Here is a 22,507-nt window from a genome sequence, read left to right on the forward strand (position 1 = left end):
GAGTAAAGGGTTAGGGCTCATGCCTCAGTGGTGAGGACACCACTGGCCTCACCGTTGCCCTCATCGGAAGCAGCCGCCCAGTTGAAATGGTCATCCCAACACTCTGCGACAGGCCAGTGAACGCTAACACTCTGAAGAGCTGGGGCACCATCCCGCCGGATGCAGGACATTATTTTGTAAAAAATACCAATTTTTAAAACTGTGGCAGAATACATAGAAAATAGAATTAGCCATTTTAACCTTTTTTTTTCATTTTCTTTTTTTTTGAGACCAAGTCTTGCTCTATCGCCAGGCTGGAGTGCATTGGTGCAATCTCAGCTCACTGCAGCCTCCGCCTCCCTGGTTCAAGCTATTCTCCTGCCTCAGCCTCCCAAGTAGCTAGGACTTTAGCTAATTAGCTAGGACGCCCAGCTAATTTTTGTATTTTTAGTAGAGACGGGGTTTCACCATGTTGGTCAAGATGGTCTCGATCTCTTGACCTCGTGAGCCGTCCGCCTCGGCCTCACAAAGTGCCGGGATTACAGGCATGAGCCAAGGCGCCCAGCCTTTTTTTTTCTTCATTTTCAAAATGCATCACTTAATTTTCCTTACAAGGTAGCCACGCATTAAACATGTAACAATCACAGGATTTCTTCAGCAAGCCCTAGTGCTTCCGTGAGCTTTCCTGGAGCTCGTGGCTCGAGGTGTCCTGAGGTTTCAAATATTACAGCTTTCTCCATGGCCATAAGTTCCTCTGATGTTTGGGTTACTGAACACAAACTCGCTGGATGATTTGTCTTCAACATGGTCCATTTCTGTTCCTAAAAGTGTTAGCTGTGCCTTCTTTTCTTTTTTTTTGAGCTGGAATCTTGCTCCGTCACCCAGGCTGGAGCGCAGTGGCATGATCTCGGCTCACTGAAACCTCTGCCTCCCAGGTTCAAGCAATTCTTGTGCCTCAGCCTCCCGAGTAGCTGGGATTACATACAGGTGCATGCCATCACATCCAGCTAATTTTTGGAATTTTTTTCTTTTTTTTTTTTTTAGTAGAGGCAGGTTTTACCATGTTGGCCAGGCTAGTCTGGAACTCCTGACCTTAAGTGATCCGCTCGCCTCAGCCTCCCAAGGTGCTGGGATTACAGGCGTGAGCCACTGCGCCCAGCCCTAGCTATACCTTCTTTTCGATGAACATTCTGACTCCATCTTGAACAACTTCTTCATTAGAGCCTCCTTTTGTCTTCATGTATTCTAGAGTATAAGAAAGCACAGCCCCAGGTTCGGACACTGAGTTTCACACCTGTGTGCTCAGATGCATCTTTAAGAAGTTGTTCTGTCTTGTTCACTACTGAAGGTGTCAGGGTAGCCGATTAGAAGCACACAATTCTCAGGCATCATGGACATGCCCCGTTTCCTTGTGTGTAAGCATCACCACTTGTTCCAGAACTTTTTCATCTTCCAAACTGAAACTCTGTCCCCACCAAACACTCCCTCCCCATTTCCCCTCCCCAGCCCCTGGCACCCCCCATCCTGCTTTCTGTCTCTACGAATTTGACTAGTCTAGGGACCACCAATCAGTGGATTCATACAGTGTGTGGCTTTTTGCGCCTGGCTTATTTCACTCAGCAAGTTGTCTTCAGGATTCATCCATGTTGTAGCATGTGTCAGAATTTCATTCCTTCTTAAGGCTAAATAATGCTGCATTGAACAGATAGACCACATTTTTGTACCCCAAAAATATCCCGCATGTTGTTTTTCCACTCGTCTGTCTGTGGAAATCAGGTTGTTTCCACCTTCTGGTTATGGCCAATCATGCTGCTACGAACACAGGTGCACAAATATCTGCGGGACTCCCCACTTTCAGTTCTTTGGGGTGTATTCCCAGACGCGAAAGCAGTTATGCAGGTGGCAATGCCTCACCTGTCCCCTATCATGCAGGCCCGAGGGCCTCCACCCTGTCAAGGTGAGTGTTCTCTTTTTTCACACAGCACTGTGCTTTGCGTGGGAGACCACTAGAGCCTGAACGTGCAGGTCAGGGAGCCGGTGGCTAGAAGTATGAGTGGCTCCACTCACGATCACCCATAATAACCACTTACGTGATTTATTTATGTTTATTATTTATTTAGTATTTTTAAAAAAATTTTTGTTGGTAGTAGAATTTATTCAAATGTGCCTTAATATAGGCGCTGGGGCTTGGTCATGGTGCTCTTGATACATAAGGCCCGGACATTCCGCCAGTTTTTCTTGGGCAATGACACCAACAAGGTGACAGCCAGGTGAATGTCATATACAAGCTCATCATCTGTCATCTTCACGTGACCCACAGCCACAGCCAGATATAACACCTTCTTCATTCGGAATTGATTGTGGACTTCGCCTCATCCACTTTGGCCACCGTGTTTTTGTTGTGTGTGAGCAGGGAAGGGAAGTTTCCCGCCTTATTTAGGCCTGGGCCAAGGATTCGTGAAATCTGCTTGATCAGAGACCCCGAGGCCAAAAATGCATCATACTTCTTGGCCAGCTTCTTGACCAGTTTTTTATTCTCGTTGAGTTTTTTCAGCGCCTCGATGTCCATGTGATGTCCATGTGGGGGATACCCATGGCCTTGGCCTCGTCACAGTGCTGCTGGTCCTCCAGGACACACACGGAGAACTTGGGCCGGGGAGTGGACTTCAGCCTGATGGTGCCTGAGAAGCGCTTGTCCTTCTGGGGGTCATAGTTCTTCAAGCTGATCTGTGACTCCACTGTCTCTAGGAACTTGCGGTGCTTGTGCTGGTTCCCACGTAGGACTTCCCACACTGCCTCGTACAGGGTGTCGCGAGAGACTTTGCTGCTCATGGCTTCTCCCACTGTGCTAACTGGAAAAGAGCTCTATTATTATTATTATTATTATTATTTTTTTTTTAGACGGAGTCTTCCTTTGTCGCCCAGGCTGGAGTGCAGTGGCGCCATCTCTGCTCACTGCCAGCTCCACCTCCTGGGTTCAGTCCATTCTCCTACCTCAGCCTCCCGAGTAGCTGGGACTACAGGTGTCCACCACCATGCCCAGCTAATTTTTTTTTTTTGTATTTTTAGTAGAGATGGGGTTTCACCATGTTAGCCAGGATGGTCTCAATCTCCTGACCTCGTGATCTGCCCACCTCGGCCTCCCAGAGTGCTGGGATTACAGGTGTGAGCCACCACACCCAGCCTATTTTTTAGTAGAGACAGGGTTTCACTATGTTACCCAGGCTGATCTTGAACTCCTGGGCTCAAGTGATCCTCCTGCCTTGGTGCCCCAAAGTGCTGGGACGATAGGTGTGAGCCATTGCACCTGGCCGCCTATTATTTTTTTAGAGACAGGGTCTTTGTTGCCCAGGCTGGAGTGGCAGTGGTGCAATTGTAGCTCACACTTGCAGGACTTTTTTTTTTTTTTTTTTTTTTTTTTTTGAGATGGAGTCTTGCTCTGTCATTCAGGTTGGAGTGCAGTGGCACGATCTTGGCTCACTGCAACCTCTGCCTCCTCTGTTCAATCACTGTTCAAGTGATTCTCCTGTCTCAGCCTCCCAAGTAGCTGGGATTACAGGCGTGCGCCACCACAGATGGCTAATTTTTGTATTTTCAGTAGAGATGGGATTTCACTGTGTTGGCCAGGCTGGTCTTGAACTCCTGGCCTCAAGTGATCCTTCTGCCCTGGCCCCCCTGGCTGGGCTGGTCTCGAACTTCCAACCTCAGGTAATCCACCTGCCCTGGCCTCCCAAAGTGCTGGTATTACAGGCGTGAGTCCCTGCATATGTCATCTCTTACTGATATTTTTGTCTGTTCGTTCTATTCCTCACTGATGTTTTCGTTTGCTTGTTCTATTTCTGAGACAAATTTTTGTCTATTTATCTATTTCCTTGTAATTTTGGTAAATTTTTGCTTTATATACTTAAGACTATATCATTAGGCATTTACAAATTAAAATTGGTTATAATGTCCTGAAAGTTGAAATTCTGTCATTATGAAGTGATTCTGTTTATCTCCAATAATACTTTAGTCTTAAAGTCTATTTTGCCTAATATTTTGGTTATTATTTTCATAGCATATCTTTTTGCATTCTTTTTTTTTAGTCAGAGTCTTGCTCTGTTGCCCAGGCTGGAGTGCAGTGGTGTGATCTTGGCTCACTGCAACCTCTGCCTCTTGGGTTCAAGCGATTCTCTTGCCTCAGCCTCCCGAGTAGCTGGGATTACAGGTGACCGCCACCATGCCTGGCTAGTTTTTTTGTATTTTTAGTAGAGACGGGGTTTCACCATGTTGGCCAGGCTGATCTTGAACTCCTGACCTCAGGTGATCTACCTGCCTCGGCCTCTGAAAGTGCTGGGATTACAGGCATGAGTCATTGTGCCCAGCCCATATAGCAGTTTTATATGTCATTTTTTTTTTGGAAAAACTTCTGAACTGTTTTCCAAAGTGTTCTACACCATTTTGTTTCCACCATCAAGCTGATGTGGTTCCCATTTCTTTGAGAAGTCCCGGCATGGGTGGAGAGCAGCCTGCAGCAAGGCCTAGGATGCTGAGGAGTGTCCTCATGACCTTGAGTGCAGTTCTGTGGCTGTCAGGTGTCAGGTGGGGCTCTGCGCCTAAGGGGTCCCTGGGCCCCACAAAGAGTCACACGCTGCTCTCTGAAAGGGAGTGTCACCACAGGAGGTTCATTTGTGTTTGTGTCCTTTATCACCCATGATTCCCAGTTCCTACCCCAGAGCTGGGGCTCAGATGCCTTTTATTTTTTTTATTATTATTTATATATATATTTTTATTATACTTTAAGTTCTAGGGTACATGTGCACAACGTGCAGGTTTGTTACATAAGTATACATGTGCCATGTTGGTGTGCTGCACCCATTAACTTGTCAATCCTAAGCCAAAAGAACAAAGCTGGAGGCATCACACTACCTGACTTCAAACTATACTGCAAGGCTACAGTAACCAAAACAGCATGGTACTGGTACCAAAACAGAGATACAGACCAATGGAACAGAACAGAGCCCTCAGAAATAATACCACACATCTACAACTATCTGATCTTTGACAAACCTGACAATAACAAAAAATGGGGAAAGGATTCCCTATTTAACAAATGGTGCTGGGAAAACTGGCTAGCCATATGTAGAAAGCTGAAACTGGATCCCTTCCTTACACCTTATACAAAAATTAACTCAAGATGGATTGAAGACTTAAATGTTAGACCTAAAACCATAAAAACCCTAGAAGAAAACCTAGGCAATACCATTCAGGACATAGGCATGGGCAAGGACTTCATGTCTAAAACACCGAAAGCAATGGCAACAAAAGCCAAAATTGACAAATGGGATCTAATTAAACTAAAGAGCTTCTGCACAGCAAAAGAAACTACCATCAGAGTGAACAGGCAACCTACAGAATGGGAGAAAACTTTTGCAATGTACTCATCTGACAAAGGGCTAATATCCAGAATCTACAAAGAACTCAAACAAATTTACAAGAAAAAAACAACCCCATCAACAAGTGGGCGAAAGATATGAACAGACACTTCTCAGATGCCTCTTAAAGGGTTTCCAACTTGCAGGCGTCTCAAACTGCAGCAATGGGAGACACGGGGACCTGCATCTTGGAGTTAGACTCGCGTTTCTGTGGGCTACATTCTGAGGTCTGGACAGCAGAGGGCGCTCTGAGACATAACCCGTCCTGTTTGTAGAGCGGGGACGTCCAGAAACCGGTCCCAGGGCTCAGTGAGCTTCTTTCTCCTTGGAGCTTCCTCCAGCCCAGAGGGCAAAGGAAGGACACACCCTCCTTTTCACGCATCTCTCTCTCTCTGTCTCTCTGTCTCTCTCTCTCTCTCTCCCTTCCTCTCTTTTTTTTTTTTCTTTTGAGACAGTCTCATTCTGTGGCCCAGGCTGGAGTGCAGTGACATGATCTTAGCTCAATGCAACCTCCACCTCCCAGGTTCAAGCGATTCTCCTGCCTCAGCTTCCCGAGTAGCTGAAATTACAGGCACGTACCACCACACCTGGCTAACTTACGTATTTTTAGTAGAGACAGGGTTTCACCGTGTTGGCCAGGCTGGTCTCAAACTCCTGACCTAAAGAGATTGTCCTGCCTTGGCCTCCCAAAGTGCTGAGATTACAGGCGTGAGCCACCGTGCCTGCCCGCATCTCTTCTTGCAGTGGCACTTTGCCCACAGGCAGGGGACTTGCAGGATGGCTCTGGCCAAACCCATTACTCACCAGGCAGCTGCTGTGATTCCCTCTCCTCTAGCTGCCGGGCTCTGCCTCCTACAGGGTCCTTGCCAGCAGGAACGTCTTGCAGCAGGTCACAGCTCTGCAAGGCTGGAAACATAATTTCACCACCAAGAATTCTTTGCACAGACTCTGACTTGGCACAGCCCCTGAAAGCAAGCACACTTTTTATAAGGGTCTGCGGCAGGCTTACAATGCTGGAAAAATGTGCCTTTTCCCAGTTTCAGTTGCATGTAGCGTCTGGCATTGCTCTGCCCTAACTCACAGTGCACGAGGACTTTATTCTTGAAGTAGCCTGGCACAGGGGTAAGTGCAGGGTCACTGACTTGACAGACCTGGATGCGAGCCCTGGCCCACTGCCTCGCATGCATTATTTCCTCACTATAGCCCATGGGGTTTTTAATCCCCATTTTACAAGTTAAGGATCAGAAGCACAGAGAGGTTAAGTGACTTTCACAAGGTTAGACAGCCAATAAAGCTGGAGCTGGGATTTGAATTTGCATCAGCCTACCCCAGAATTCAGTCAGTCCAATCTGGTGGAGTACCTTGTGAGCACCTAGCACATGGTAAGTGTTTACTGAATCAACGAACACATGCAAGCCCTCGGCATGGGCCAACCTCTAAGGGTCTTTTCAAATAACTTCCTCATCTTTTGTCCCTTTGCCACTACTCCAAACCTAATCAAAGGTCAACAATGAAAGCAGATAACTCAGATGTCCAGTGGTCTCCAACTAACCAATTACCCCCGAGCCACTTCTAGACCTGTGCTGTGGGCAGCACCTCGTTTTGGGATGGATGTTAAGAATCCCATTCCCAGGCTGGGCGTGGGCATGGATGGCTCGTGCCTGTAATCCCAACACTTTGGGAGGCCGAGGTGGGCGGATCACAAGGTCAAGAGTTTGAGACCAGCCTGGCCAACATGGCGAAACCCCCGTCTCTATAAAAATACAAAAATTAGCCGGGCGTGGTGGTGGGTGCCTGTAATCCCAGCTACCCGGGAGGCTGAGGCAGGAGAATCGTTTGAACCCCAGAGGAAAGGTTGCAGTGATCCGAGATCGCACTGCTGCACTCCAGCCTGGGCGACAGAGAGAGACCTTGTCACAAAACAAAACAAAACAAAACAAAACAAAACAAAACAAAACACCATGTTGGCCCAAGGCCAGCGTGTCTCAGTGAAGGCTGCACGTTAGAATCACCTGGGCGACTGTTTCAAGGCGCCACCCCAGACACAGCTACAGTTTCAAGTTCCCCTCAGGTGATTCTAATGCAGGTTCAAGCCACTGCATGCATCCCACGTTGCGTGATCACGAAAGTCACCTGGGAAATTGGTTGAAAACACCAATCTCTTGGCTCCAACCCAGAGCTACTTAATCAGAATCTCCAGGGGGAACAGATCTGAGCTTAACAGCCCACAGGTGAACACCTTGAGGCCAAAGGAACCCATTCATAAAGGGGTGGGGGCCCAGCTTCTTCTGAAGAAGGCTGGCGGGAGTTGGGGGGAGGTCCGCAATGCAAGGTTGCCCTCCACACATCAACCCCTCCCCCAGGACTGTACCCACCTGCCCGCATTTGAATCTGGGCCACCTTCCCGGCCCGCGGCGCGGAGTTGGCGGTCATATCCCGCGTGAGCACCAGGTGGCGCTAGGGCCCCGCGCTTGTCCTGGAGCCCCGGCAGCTGCTGCGCTTCCCCCAATTAATCTCTCTTCTGAAACCATAGCTGCTGAGAAGCTGCAGAGGGAGCCTGCGCCGTCTGGATTACGTGGCAGTGACCCGATGGTCCTGCCACACAGGTCAAGTTCCTTTAAAAGTCTTGTCCTTGATCTCGAAAATCCATGGGAATTTCCCATTTTGCTCCATGGTGCGCTGCTGTGTTTGTTTTAACACAGAAATAAGTATTTCCATAAATTCCACAAGACACAGCTCCCAAAGATGCACCTGCTTTTACAGGTTTCTTGGCCCTGCACCCCCTCGGAGGTGAATGGAGCCTCCCTGGTGTGAGAAGTGCAATCCACGTGGTTGGGGTGTAGGTCTCCCTCCTGATCTAAGAGGGAGAAAATGAGATGGGTGGGCACTCCCCACACCTGTTTCTTCATCTTTGCCACACTTCTGCTAGGGGAAGGACAGGGCGTCCATCCTCAGGGCCAAGCCAGAGCATTCTCATCTGCTCAATAAATTTCAATTTACTTCTGAGCACGTGTCGTTATCAAATTATCTGTGTGGCGCTTTCCACTCCCACTCTTCTGAAGATGAGCATGTGTAACAGAGCGGAACACATCTGGGCAGCCGAGGAAAGGCCTCACTTTAGGAACCGGGAAATAGAAACTCAGGGAGGTGGCAGAGAGGCCAGGCCCTGCGGGGCAGGCGGCAGGGGAGCCATGGTGGGGCCCAGCTCTGGACAGAGCTCTGGGCTGCCCCGCATCCTGGGTGAGGGCCCTGACCGCTTCCTGCTCACTTTTACCATCGGGAAGGGGCCTAGTCATAGAACTTCTGGCAGCAGTGACTTATGAGGATTCAAAAGCAGATCCCATTGTGCTGGCTGCAGATAGTGCTGGCTCACTAAGGCGATGGCTTCTTGTGGACCGTCTGGCGGAGGTGATACTGGAACCCACACTGCTGCATCCAAGTCATCCAGCAGCTGTTCAGCCCCCTTATGTGGCCGCTATGCTGGAAATACCCGGTTTTAAAGGGAAAACAAAGTTTCCAGAGACCTTTTCAGGGCCTTCTTATTTGATATCCTTTTGGCTCTACGAATACAGTGGTTGCGTCCAGGCCTACCTTCCTTGTCTATTCAGATCACAGAGAGACACTTGAGTTGGCAGAAGAGACCCCTGTCTTCAAAGGCTCGCCCCACCCCAACACCACTGGGAGAGAGAAGTGTTTTTTCCAGAGTGGCTTAGCAGCCTGGGTTTGTGCATCTGACCCAAGGCTCTGTGGACCTCCAGATGTATGGGGTGGTAGCCCGAGGGGTTTGGGGTGGGAGGGTCAGTGAGTCTGTGGGGGTGGTTAGTGTCTCAAAAGCCACAGATATAAACAAGCCATGTTTTCCTGGGGTATCATTTTCACTCAAAGTTTTGGAAAAAAGTTCTTGTTGTTTATAAGTAAAACAAACATGGATATACAATGGAATGAAATAAAAAGCCCAAGTCAATCTTAAAATACACAAATTCAAAGAAATTTGCATTGCAGGCCAGCTTGAGCTACTCTTGGGAGAGGGTTCTCCTTTGGTTAAAGCAACCTGAAGAAACATAAGTCCATCAACACATATTTCTTGAGTACCTACCATGTGCAAGGCACCGTGCTAGATGCTGAAGGGGACAGAAAATGTGAGATACAGTTCCTGTTCAGGAGGATCTTGTGGTCTAGAGAGTAGTCTTGGCTTCACCTTCATCATCACCATCACCATCATCATTATCATTGCCATCATAACCATCACCATCATCACCATCATCATCATCACCATCAACATCATCATCACCATCAACATCACCATCACCATCCTCATCATCAACATCACCATCACCATCACCATCATCACCATCACTGTCCTCATCATCACCATCACCATCATCACCATCATCATCATCACCATCAACATCATCATCACCATCACCATCATCACCATCATCATCACCATCAACATCACCATCACCATCCTCATCAACATCATCACCATCATCACCATCATCATCATCACCATCAACATCATCATCACCATCATCATCATCACCATCACCATCATCATCACCATCAACATCACCATCACCATCACCATCCTCATCATCAACATCACCATCACCATCAACATCACCACCATCACCATCACCATCCTCATCATCACCACCATCATCACCATCATCACCATCATTGTCATCATCACCATAATCACCATCATGATCATCATCACTGTCACCATCACCATTATCATCACCATCAGCATCTTCATCCTCATCGTCATTGCCACCATCACCATTGTCATCTTCATAGGCTTAAAGACAATGGTGTCTGTTCTGTTTCTCCTGTAACCTTAGCTTCTAGGATATTGTCTGGCACATATTAGGCATTCAATAAACACTTAATGCATGCCTTGTCATCATAAATCATGCTAACAGCTATGTTGTACATTGTGTCACCTAATCCTGCAACCCTAAGATATAGGAGGTATGGTTTTCTGTTCCAGATGGAGACACCAAGAAAGGCCGAACAACTTCCAAAGGCTGTATGTCAAACAGGTGATAGGACCGGGATTCAGACACAAGTCTGTCCACTTCCAGGGCCAGGGTGTTCAGCCTTGAGCCATGGTAGCCTGGCTAATAGCACAGACTTCAGATAAGAGTTGAGCTCAGAGGGAGCAAGCCCTTGAGGCCAACTTGGTCAGGGGTGGCTGTGGCTTGGCTCCTCCACTGGATATCGAGGCAAGTCATGTCCAGATACCAGAGAGTGCCAACTGGAGGTGACCACATGTGGTCAGAGGGTGTGGCCAACAGGGGACTCAGGCAGTCATTCTGTGTGCGGGCTTCCTGGCTAATAGCCATGTAGGCTTCTGGTGCTGCCCAGGCATCCCACACAAGCTGTGGGTGTGCTGGGCTGGAGGGGGGTCCCTGGGGTTTTCCCTTTGATCAGGAGCCTTCTGGGGATTTGGGGGAGGACGCGTCTTCAGACTCTCTGGGGTCACCTGGGAAGCAGAGTCATGAGGCTGCCCAGAGGACTTTCCCAGCCATTGGGGCCACTACTTCCTCAAACCTCCTCGTGGTCTTTTTGGAAAACCCCAGGTTGGGATCCTCATGGGTGTGGAGGAGCCAGTGGTCTGGGGCTGTGAGGGATATGAGCCAGGGTGACCGTGCACCCACGTCGGGTTGCCTGGGTGCACCGCCTGGTCAGAGCCAATGGCAGGACTGGACAGTGGGTGTGACAGTGTCCTGGGATTGTTGTAACAAACGGCCCCACTCTGGGAGGCCTAGAACAACAGAGATGTGTTCCACACGGTCCTGGAGGCCAGAGCCTTCATCAGAGCATTGCCGGGGGGCACGCTGTCTGCGGGCTCCGGGGGAGGGGCTGCCTGGCCTCTCCCAGCTTCTGGCGCTCCCTGGCGTTCCTTGGCTTTGGCCACTTCACCCCAGTCTCTGCCTCCATTGTCTCACGGCCGTCCCCCTGGTGCCTGCAAATCCCTCTCTGCTTTTTCTTATAAGGACAGCTGTCATTGGATTTAGGGCCCACCCTAATCCAGCATGACCTCATCTTAACCTGATTACATCTGCAAAGACCCTATTTCCAAATAAGGTCATATCCATTGGCTCAGGACTTCAACAACTTTAACATACTTCTGGGGTGGGGGGACCCAATCCAGCCCACGACAGATGGCACTGCCTTCCACCGCACATCCCTGCAGACAGGGCACCAGAGTCACCAGGCCTCGTCCAGGACTGGCCATAGTAAACTACCCGAGAGCTCAGCTCTAGGCTCAGGAGTTTGCCTGTTCCAGAATACAAGGGTTGTTCAATGCCCTGCCCTGCTCTGTAACCCCTTCGGCAGAGCATCACCTGGATTTCTGGTGGGAAGTCACACTTCCCCTGCCCAGCCACGTGGGGGCAGGTGACTCAGCATCCCCCAGGCCAGGGGTGGGCGTGGGACCCGGCCCGAGCCACCTGCACATCCCAATTTTCTGGGAGAGGGATTGTTCACGGATGGGCATGTGATGTATATGGGTTCACTGGACTCCAGGACTTCTGCTGGAGTGACTGAGGGACAGCATTACTTTCTGCTGCGTGTGGAGATGCAAGGGTGTGTGTGTGCACCCGTTTGGGGGACCCCAGGTGGAAGGCGCTCGCCTGGAGGTGAAGCCCTCGGAGACCCTGTTTTCTCGTGTGATTGGCAAGCCCTGCTACCCCTGGAACTTTTGCTTATTTGAGACAATACTTTCCATTTTTTCTCCTTTTTTCACTCAAGACAGTTTAGGTTGGATTTTTTTTTTTTTTTTTTTTATCATTCATAAGAGAAACAGCCCTGACCTAACACACAGATCCTAAGACTTTTGGAGTTCCCAGCCCCTGAAAATCCAACACAAGCTGACAATCCTCTCCCAGAAGTACATGCAAGATCACAGAACCTCTTGCACTCAAGCTGCTAGGCCCGTGGATCTCTTCCATGGACCTTCAAGGTACCAAGAATCTCAGGCTAAAATTTACTTTTAAAAATGTTTGAAAAGTCCTTGGAAGCCTGCGCTGGCGGCTTCCTGAGACTTTCTGGGCTGGGAGATTGGTAGGACGGGCTGTTGATGGGCAGGCTGTTCCTCCCAGGCATCCCCAAGCCAGTGGAAGCGTGGGATATCCGTGTCTCCAACTCCTGCCGTGGTGTGGGCGCCTTCCTCTTCTCTGTCATTCCTCACTGCAGCGTCCCCTGCTCACCTTGTTTTGAGTAGAAATATGTCCCCCACTCTCAGATGCGGGCAGGAGGAGAGTAAACAGGTGTGACCACGCTGCGGGGCTGTCTGGCCACGCCGGGCACAGCTGGCCGTGGAGGTCCCTGCCCGAGTGTTTATCAAGGGAGGAATGGAGAAATGAACTGCGGCAGGGCTACACCCGAGAGTCGCATCCTGCAGTTAATCTGGAAGCAGCAGATGTACCTGCGTCAACAGGAAGGATTTTGGAAACATGCAGGGGGCATGAGAAGAGAGGCTGCTGAGGGTCTGTGCCATAGGAAGCCTCTACTGACAAATGTTAAACAGAAGGTGGCAATAGACCGTTCCTACAGATGCCTTCAGCTGCAGCAGAAGAAATACAGGCATGTGGAATCCATACCAACCCCGGGAAAGGAGGGCAGGGAGCGGAACTGGGAGAATGAAGGGGCCCCCACTGTATCTGAGATGTTTTCGTTCTCTGAAGCAAACACAGAAAAACTGTCCTGCACGGGTTTGCTCCAGGCAGCACAATTCAATCCCCAAAAATCTTGCGTCCAGAGGCCTCGCCACGCTGCGGGCTTCACACACTCATGCACAAAGCATGCACACATGTGGACACACATGTGCACACACATGAACAAAGCACACACTTGCACACACGTACACACGTGGACACACACATGAACAAAGCACACACACGGATGCCACACACATGCACACACACGCAGTAAGCACACACTTGCACACACATGCACAAATCATGCACACGTTTACACACATACACACACGAACAAAGCACACACATGGACACCATACACATGCACACACACTCACAAAGCACACACGGGCACAGATGTGTACACCCACTGACGAGTCTCTACACCCCTTCACACTGGGTCCATTCTGGGACTTCCTGGTTATGTGGGTCCATACATTTCTTTTTCCCTTACTTCATCAGGGTGGGCGGGCTTCTGTTACTTGTGACCAAAGACCTCTAACGCCGATGCACTTCACGAGATCAATGTGGACATCTTGGATCTGTGGGGGACCTTTTATGCACTGATCCAGTCCACCCACCCGTGTCATGGACAGAAAGACCCCAGGCTCAGAGAACTGACCTGTTAAGATGTAAAGCAGGCTGGGTGTGGTGGCTCACACCTGTCATCCCAGCACTTTGGGAGGCCGAGGCGGGTGGATCACTTGAGCCCAGAAGTTCGAGACCAGCCTGGCCAACATAGTGAACTCCCATCTCTACTAAAAATAAAAAAAATTAGCCGGGCCTGGTGGTGCATGCCTGCAATCCCGGCTCCTTGGGTGGCTGAGGCACGAGAATCTGTTGAACCTGGGAGTCGAAGGTTGCAATGAGCCCAGATCATGCCACTGCACTCCAGCCTGGGCAACAGATTGAGACTCTGTCTCAAAAAAATAAAGATGTAAAGCATAGTTTCTGGTCCTGTGAAAGCATTTTCAAGTTGAAGCAACCCCAGTATTTGAAACTTCAGAATCTAGCACCCACCCCACACCAGATGCACAAGAGGGGGCTGAGAGTGGGCATGGGGGTGGGGGCCCCCAGGGCCTCAAGTTATCACCCCAACTCCAGGCTCTCTCCACACTCTCTCCCTGCAGAGCAGCTGCCGCCCAATCTCTGCTCGTGGAGACGAGCGTTGGTCACTGGCCATGAAACCCTTCGTGAAGTTTTTGAAATAAAAATAATAATAACAGATAGTTGGGGACTGGAGCAGCGGGAGGCTGGGCTGTTTATGCTGTGAGTGAATTATGTATTCTGTCCGTTTCCAGAGAACGGATCTTTCAGATGTTTATGTAATAAAGATCCTTGTGGAACTCAGGGTCAGAAAAGCCAAGTCAGTGTTTGTTTCAGGTGTCTGAGCAGCCTGTATTTTTCTTTCTTTGGGTTTGAAAAGTGTAGCGGGTTCCTCAAGTCAGGGTTGCTGTTTTTATACAGCTGGTGGTGGAGGCTGGGGGATGGGCCTCGGGAGTGACCTGCACAGGCTGATGGCAGAAGGTGGGGTCAGATGGCCCTTGGAGGCCGGAGGGGCTGTGGCGGGACCCTCGATAAACCCACGATTCCAATTCCATGGTGACACCTTAGGGCGGGCCTGGCCCAACGCTGTATGTTGGGTACTTGAATCCCGAATGTGTGTTTTGGGATAAATAGTGGAGCCCAGTGTCTTTGATGCAAAGATCACCAGCCACTTGGCTAATATTCTTCCTTGTATTTTTTCAGTGCTAGGGAGGAAAACTGTACAGTTTTTTGCTTTAAAATTATATGATTATTATATAATTATATTATTATGTAAAGTTTTTTGCTTTAAAATTATTATAAAAGATTTCAAACACACAGAATGTATAAAGGGTAATACAGTGAATCCCCATGGACCCATCAGCTGGTATAAGAATGCCACATTATCCGGGACCCAGTGTTAATCTCGCCCCCGCCCTCCCCACAGAAGGGATTCTCCTGGGTGCAGGTGTTTTTGGGTGTAGGTGGTTTTGGTTGCAGGTGTTTTTGGGTGTAGGTATTTTTGGGTGCAGGTGTTTTTGGGTGTAGGTGTTTTTGGGTGCAGGTGTTTTTGGGTGTAGGTGTTTTTGGGTGTAGGTGTTTTTTATTGTAGGTGTTTTTGGGTGTAGGTGTTTTTGGTTGCAGGTGTTTTGGTTGTGTTTTTGGGTGTAGGTGTTTTTTATTGTAGGTGTTTTTGGGCGTAGATGTTTTTGGGTGTAGGTGTTTTTGGGTGTAGGTGTTTCTGGGTGCAGGTGTTTTTGGTTGCAGGTGTTTTTGGTTGCAGGTGTTTTTGGTTTGTAGGTGTTTTTGGGTGTAGGTGTTTTTTATTGTAGGTGTTTTTGGGTGTAGGTGTTTTTGGTTGCAGGTGTTTTTGGTTGCACGTGTTTTTGGTTGTTGGTGTTTTTCTCTGCCCCTCGGTATTTCCTTCCGAAATGGGTGAACTCGGGCATGAGTCTCCACTCACCAAAGGATCCTCCCACGTCTGTGTGGCCTGGGCGGTACGTGGGCACCTGTGGGCACCTGGTGAGATGCTAGGTGGTTCTGCCTGGGGAAGTGGTTCCATCCGCCTCCCTGAGCTCAACACAGTTATCTTGCCAGCACACCCAGCGTCACAGCGGCACCCCTTTGGAGGACTCCCGGGAGGGTGGGATGGGATGGCACTCTCTCCTTGAGTGAACAGGAAGTCTCTGTAAACACCAGCAATTATGACTGCGCAGCCTCCGGGCACGCTTGGGCACCATCACCCAGGGACAGGGAGGAGAGGTGCTTCCAGTGGCTCTTGGGTCTGCTGGGGGCTTGTCCTTAGGACCATTTTAACGTCTTCCCAGACAGACAAACTGGGCTCCTTCCTCAAAATAAAAAAGCAAATGAAAGGGTTTTTTTCATCAACTGTTTAGCAACCCAGGCAGGGAAAAAGCAATCAGAGACGTGGAAACAGCCCCGGGGGCCACCGTGCAGGGGCTGTGCTTCCCTGCGGTGAGCCCACAGAGGCCGGGACCACACCGGCAGGAGCTGCACCCGCCTGGGAAAAGGGGAACAGGAAAAGCATGGCCGGTTGAGCAACTCGGAGTCCAGATTGGGGCCGAGGCAACCACAAGCCCATGGACGCCGCAGCGGGAGGCGAAGGGGCAGGAAGCGCCCTCCACGGGGCCTGCTGCAGCTGGGTGGGCGCTGAGGCCCCTCCCTGCCAGGGCCATTTCTCAGGACAGACCTGGCCCATCGCACCCCCAGGAGCCAGCAGCGATTGGCCTAAACAAGCCGTAGCTGCAAAGGATGGACCTCTGAGAGAATAGAATGTGGGCAGGAGTGGGTAGGACCGGGCAGGCTTGAAGGACTGTGGTGGGGTCCCTGGGCAGCAGAGGCCAAGGCTGGTGTCAGAAGGTGGACGGGCTCCTTTGCAGACTGGCTCCCTCCTTCATTCCTATTGCAACCAGCACCATGTCCATTTGGGATGGGAGTCCAGCCTTCAAATCTGAGGGCCAGACAGCTGGTGGCAGAGTCCCCGAGCTCCTTGCTCTGGGCTATGGCTGTCCTGATGGACCCCCAGCCTGCCTCTCCCAGGAAGCTGCTGGGCTCTCTGGAGTGATGTTGCCGTATCCCTGCCCTGGTTACTTCCTGACATCCTCTCTCCTGTTCCTGCCTTGGGTGGACGTAATTTACTTATAAAACTCTACAAGGGGCTGGGCACGGTGGTTCACAACTGTAATCCCAGAAATTTGGGATCGCCTGAGGTCAGGAGTTCAAGACCAACCTGGCCAACATGGTGAAACCCCCATCTTTACTAAAAATACAAAAATTAGCCGGGTGTGGTGGTGCACACCTGTAGTCCCAGCTACTCGGGAGGCTGAGGCGGGAGAATCAGTTGAACCTGGGAGGCAGAGGTTAAAGTGAGCCGAGATCGCACCACTGCCCTCCAGCCTGGGCAACAGAGCCAGGCTTCATCTCAAGAACAACAAACAAACAAACAAATAAACAAACTCTACAAGGAACTCTGTCAGAGAAAGTTCAGAAAAAGAAAAACCATGATCGCTTATCCCGCTCTCTGAACACCGTAGCTATTGTAATTTTGGTATATTTCCTTCCAGACTTTTCCCCCTAATGCCTACTTTTGCATATAATTGAAATCATATCATAGACATAGTTGGGTAGCCAGACTTTTGCCCACACAATCCCATGATCGTTTCACATGCCGTTTCATGCATTTCCTCATCAGCCCTGATGGATTTGGATTGCTGTTTTACTCTGAAGTTTTAAAGGGAGCATTTTCGTATGGAAGATTTCAAACACACACAAAAATGTGGTGGATACTCAAAAGAGCTCCTCATGCTCCCACACCCAGTTTCAACGATGATTGGCATAGCGCTCGCCCACCCTGGTATTTTTAAAATTATTGTGGCAAAATAGACATAGCCTAAATGTTACCATTTCAACCTTCTTTGAGTGCACACTTCAGTGGCATTAAGCACGTTTACGCTGTTGTGGAACTAGCACCACCGTCCATCTCCAGAACTTTTTCATCTTTGAAATGGAAACTTTGTCCCCATTAAATATTCACTAACATTCCCCGTCCCTCAGCCTCTGAACCCTACCTTCTGCTACTAATTGAAACTCTGTCCCCATTAAACATTCACTCCCATTCCCCATCCCCCAGCCTCTGAACACCACCATTTGACTTTCTGCTGCTACGATTTTGACTACTCTAGGAACCTCATATACGTGGAATCATAGTATTGTCCTTTTTGTTTGTCTCGTTTCACTCAGCATAATGTTTTCAAGGTTCATGCAGGTCATAGCATGTATCAGAATTTCCTTTTCAAGGCTGAATAATATTCCACCATCTGAATATCTGACTATATCACCCTTTGTTTATTCATTCATCTGTTGACAGACATTTGTGTGGTTTGATGCTGGTGTTTTTAAACAAGTTGCAGACATTGTCTTGTTTCATCCATGAATGTGTCCAAATAGTCTTAGAGATGAAGGCTTAAAAAAAAAAAAGAAAACTGGCCAGGTACTGTTGCTTGTGCCTATAATCCCAACATTTTGGGAGGCTGCAGTGGGCAGATCACTTGAGCCCAGGAGTTTGAGACCAACCTGGGCAACATGGTGAGACTCTGTCTCAACAAAAAATTAAAAAATTAGCTGGGTGAGGTGGTGTGCACCTGTAGTTCCAGGTACTCAAGAGGCTGAGGTGGGAAGTTTGCTTGAGCCCAGGAGGTCAAGGCTGTAATGAGCTGTGATCCCACCACTAAACTCCAGCCTGGGAGACAGAGTAAGACCTTGTCTCAAAAAACCAAAACAGGCCAGGCACAGCAGCTCACGCCTATAATCCTAGCACTTTTGGAGGCTGAGGCGAGCGGATCACCTGAAGTCAGGAGTTCGAGACCAGCCTGGCCAGCATGGTGAAACCCCATCTCTACTAAAATACCAAAATTAGCTGGGTGTGGTGGTGCGTGTCTGTAATCCCAGCTACTCAGGAGGCTGAGGCAGGATAATTGCTTGAACCCAGGAGGTGAAGTTTGCAGTGATCTGGGATCGTGCCACTGCATTCCAGCCTGGGCAACACAGCAAGACTCCATCTCAAAAACAAAACAAAACAAAACAAAAAACCCCAAAAAACAAAAAACCAAAACAAACAAAAATCAGAAAAAACAACCTTCACAGCAATATCATCATTCCATCTAGACCATTTAACAATAATTCCTTCATATCATGTAATATCCAGGCAACATTCAGGTTTCGCTGATTTTCTCATGAATGTCTTCCTGAAGTTGGTTTGCTGGTTTGCTTGAATTCAGATGCAAAAAGGTCGATTTGTGTCTTAAATCTCCCTCAGTTCTTTCTTTCTAGCCGCCTTTCATTGAGGAAGCTGGGCCGCCATCTGGAGGCGCCTCGCACGCGGGACACGCATGGAGGACCTGCCAGGTGCCTGTTGGTGGCCGCCTGTCCCCAGGGCGTTCTGACTCAGGGACAGCTTTCAGCGACTACACGGCAGAAGTGGTGTCCATCCCCCTCGTCCTGTCAGGAGGCACCGCAGCTCTGTCACTCTCTGTTCCGCCTGTTTTTATTTTTTTCTCCTTCCATTTATTGTGACTGTTTATCTGGAAACCATTTTGAACTTACGGAAAGGTTGTAAGACTATTTCAGAGAACTCCTGTGTTCCCCATCCCCATCCCCAGAGTCCCCACTCAGATTTCTCAATAGACGGGCGCCTGCTGCTGCAGTCCCATCCCCTCTGGGGCACAGGTCCCATAGCCACGCCTCCCTCACCTCCTGTTGTCTGGAACAGTCCTGTCTTTCCTGGTATCTGTGGCCTTGCCCTGTTTGGGTATGACAGGCTCGTGTTGTGTCAAATGCCCCTCAGTTTGGTTTTGTCTGATGTTTCCTCATGATGGGATCCACGTGATGCATTTTGGCTGGAAAAGCACAGAAGGGAGGCTGAGATATTCTCAGCTCACCCTGGGGACACATGGTGGGGTCTGTCCAGCGTGATGGCACCAGCTTTCATTGCCCAGTGCACATGGCGTCTTCTGGGTTTCTCCGTGGTAAACGTGCTTCCTCCCTTTGTTTTAATATGTTTTCGGGGAGAGGTACTTTGGGATGATGCCAGATCCTGTTCCTCATTTCCCTTCGAGTCAGGGGAGATTCTGGCACCGGGGTTTAGTGTGCTGTCCAAGGCCCCAGATGAGATTAGGGGTGGGGGCTGCGTAACACCCGGGCTCCAGACCAGGGCTGAGCTCACCTCCGCCGCTTTCCCCTCACTCCCACTCTTGAAATCAGACGCGTGCAGCTACAGCACAGGTCACAGCACAGGTCTCCTTCACCCCGGTGGTGAGGGAGTCAGTGAGGGAGAGGGCTGTTCTGCCCTCAGCCAGGCCGCAGCGGATGCCAGAGGCGGGGCACCAAGCTCACCAGGTCTGGCCCAGCCGGGGCTTGTGGGAGAGGAATGGGCTGTCCTCCCACCCAGGGTGGGGTCCCTGCTCCTCCGCAGCAGGTGGCTGGCTTGACTGGATGCAGCCCGCCTCTTCTGATGGGAGGCATTCTCCCGCAGAGAAGGTGGTGGGATGGCACCAGTCACTTTGTTCCACTTGGTCTGCTGGGTAGAAGAGATGGAAACAATGCCTGCTGAGTATCAGAATCAGATTTGGCTGTGTCAAAGGAAGGAAGGAGGGAGGGAGGCAGAAAGGGATGGAGGAAGAAAAGGGGAAAAGGAAAGATGAAAGAAGGGAGAGAAGGAGGGAGGGAAGGAGGGAGGGAGGGAGGGAGGGAGGGAAGGAGGGAGGGAAGGAGGGAGGGAGGGAGGGAAGGAAGGAGGGAGGGAGGGAAGGAGGGAGGGAAGGAGGGAGGGAGGGAGGGAGGAGGGAGGGAAGGAGGGAGGGAAGGAGGGAGGGAAGGAGGGAGGGAAGGAGGGAGAGAGGGAAGGAGGGAGGGAAGGAGGGAGGGAAGGAGGGAGGGAAGGAGGGAGGGAGGGAGGGAGGGAGGGAGGGAAGGAGGGAGGGAAGGAAGGAGGGAAGGAGGGAGGGAAGGAGGGAGGGAAGGAAGAATAGGAAAGATAAGAGAGAGAGGAACTGTGTTTTTTCTCTAGACAGGCCATTTCCCCCCATCATATTAAAACAAGAAAACTACACAGGTATCAGCAGCAGCTCAGGGCTGACCATGGCATGGTCCACAGTGCCTGCTCTCTCTTCTCGTGCTCCTCTGCCATTCTAGCACAGCACCTCAGGGTCTAAGACAGCTGCAGAGGCTCCAGCCATCGTGTCTGCCTTCAAACCAGCAAGAGGGGAAGAGGGGGAGACAGAGCCAGCTCTTTCACTTTGATGAGAATGCATGGAAGTGACAGACTGCCCTTCAGCTCACACGTCATTTGGTTCAGTGCTTAATGGTGGGGGCCGCTGGGAATGGGGATGGGGATGGGGATGGGGATGGGGTGGTGCTCTTGATTTCTGCCTAAGGAGAAACTCCCCTGCTTACCAGGAGTTGACCAGCCAGGGTGCAGCTGGAGTCCAGAGACCCAAGCAAGCCAGTGAGGGGTGAGGAGCAGCGAAGGGGGCTTGGTGAGGGCTGCAACCCTGAGCCATGTGAGGGCCGCCATGCAGAGAAGGGAGTAGTAGCCTGAGCGGCTGTGGGCCCAGGGCAGGTGCAGGAGCCAGGTTTCAACATCAGCAGCTTCAAACGGGGTGGTGCAATGGATTTTCTCTGGGTATTTGGGATGGGTTTGGGGGGCAACCGCCTGCAACTCAATGTATCTCCAAGAATTGAGAGCTTAGGAGCTCCTGTCCACTGAGGAGTTCCTGAACCACTCCTCAGGAGTGTGAAAAGGAAAAAGCTTTGCCCTCTGAGCTCAACTCTGATCCCTTTCAGGAACCACCGGTCCTCCTGTTGTACGTCCTTGCCCTGTGCTGGGTGCTGTTCCAGGTGCCTGCCAAGTGTCATCTCACGCAGCCCTCCAGGCCTAGCGGGTGAGCCCAGCACCCTCCCGACCTGAGGCTGAGCACACAGAGGTGGGTGGCAGTGTGTGGTGTGCCCCACGTCCACCAGTGGCAGGAGGCAGAGCCAGGGCTGGAACCTGGGCAGCCTTGACCAGCACTCGAACATGTGTCAGGCGACTGGACCAGTGCAGAGACAAAAGTCAGCAAAAGTTGGAAGTGGCTTCCAGGCACGCATGCTCTGGCAGGACCCCAGAGGACATGGGCATAGCGGAGGCAAGGGCGGCTCCATGCAGGGGGAGGAGCTCAGCTGTCCCACCAGGTCGTGCCTGGGCAGCAGGTGTCGGCACTGCGGCGCGGTGTCCCAGGCCTGCTGGCTGTGAGCGACCGGCCGTCGTAGGAGGGAGGCCCAGGCATCTCAGCAGAGGCTATGGGGTGTCTGCTTCATGCAGCTCCTGCTGTCTAACCCCGAGCTCGCCAAGAAACTGCGTGTTTATGACCTGGCTTCTGCACAGACATTTCAAAGCAAGAGACTGTGCAGGTAACCCTGGCAGGTGTATTCCAGGCTGTGACACGCAGAATGTTCAATGCCGATCACCAAGTCAGCAGGTCCTGGCTCCCTGTGCTTGTCTATTGGGTCAGGATCTCTACTCAGTTCTGCGTCTTTGAGGCTAGCAGATTCTGGAGCAGGACTGGGGACAGGGGACCAAATGTCACCCCACGAGGCCTCCTGGAGAGGACAACCCGGCTTCCAGCCACCCCGGGGACCACATTCCAGATTCTTCTCTGCAGTGGCAGGTGCTGCTTGTCGGGGTACCAGGCTCCCCCTGGCCTTTCTGGAAGAGAGGGTGTCCCTTATAAATCATAAGCAGAAAATAAATACTCAGCCAAGAAAGCACTCGGCAGGTCGAGTCCCGCTTGGCTGGAGAGGGAGGATGAGGGGCTCTGTTTCAGTGAA

At 50.6% G+C, this 22,507-nt stretch overlaps 2 pseudogenes, besides 1 other annotated feature; both read right to left on the minus strand.

Annotated features, from left to right (window-relative positions):
* LOC100422319 (iron-sulfur cluster assembly 1 homolog (S. cerevisiae) pseudogene) lies at nucleotides 700-1,337 on the minus strand (annotated as a pseudogene).
* Nucleotides 2,121-2,842, minus strand: RPL10AP12 (ribosomal protein L10a pseudogene 12; annotated as a pseudogene).
* Nucleotides 8,103-8,612: an enhancer, noted in NCBI's record as "H3K27ac-H3K4me1 hESC enhancer chr16:85855434-85855943 (GRCh37/hg19 assembly coordinates)". NCBI's record gives its function as "activates a minimal SCP1, AML or CMV promoter by ChIP-STARR-seq in primed H9 embryonic stem cells {active_cell/tissue: H9 hESC(primed)}" and the evidence as "EXISTENCE:reporter gene assay evidence [ECO:0000049][PMID:30033119]".

The sequence above is a fragment of the Homo sapiens genome, chromosome 16 (genome assembly GCF_000001405.40).
Source record: "Homo sapiens chromosome 16, GRCh38.p14 Primary Assembly".
Taxonomy (NCBI): domain Eukaryota; kingdom Metazoa; phylum Chordata; class Mammalia; order Primates; family Hominidae; genus Homo; species Homo sapiens.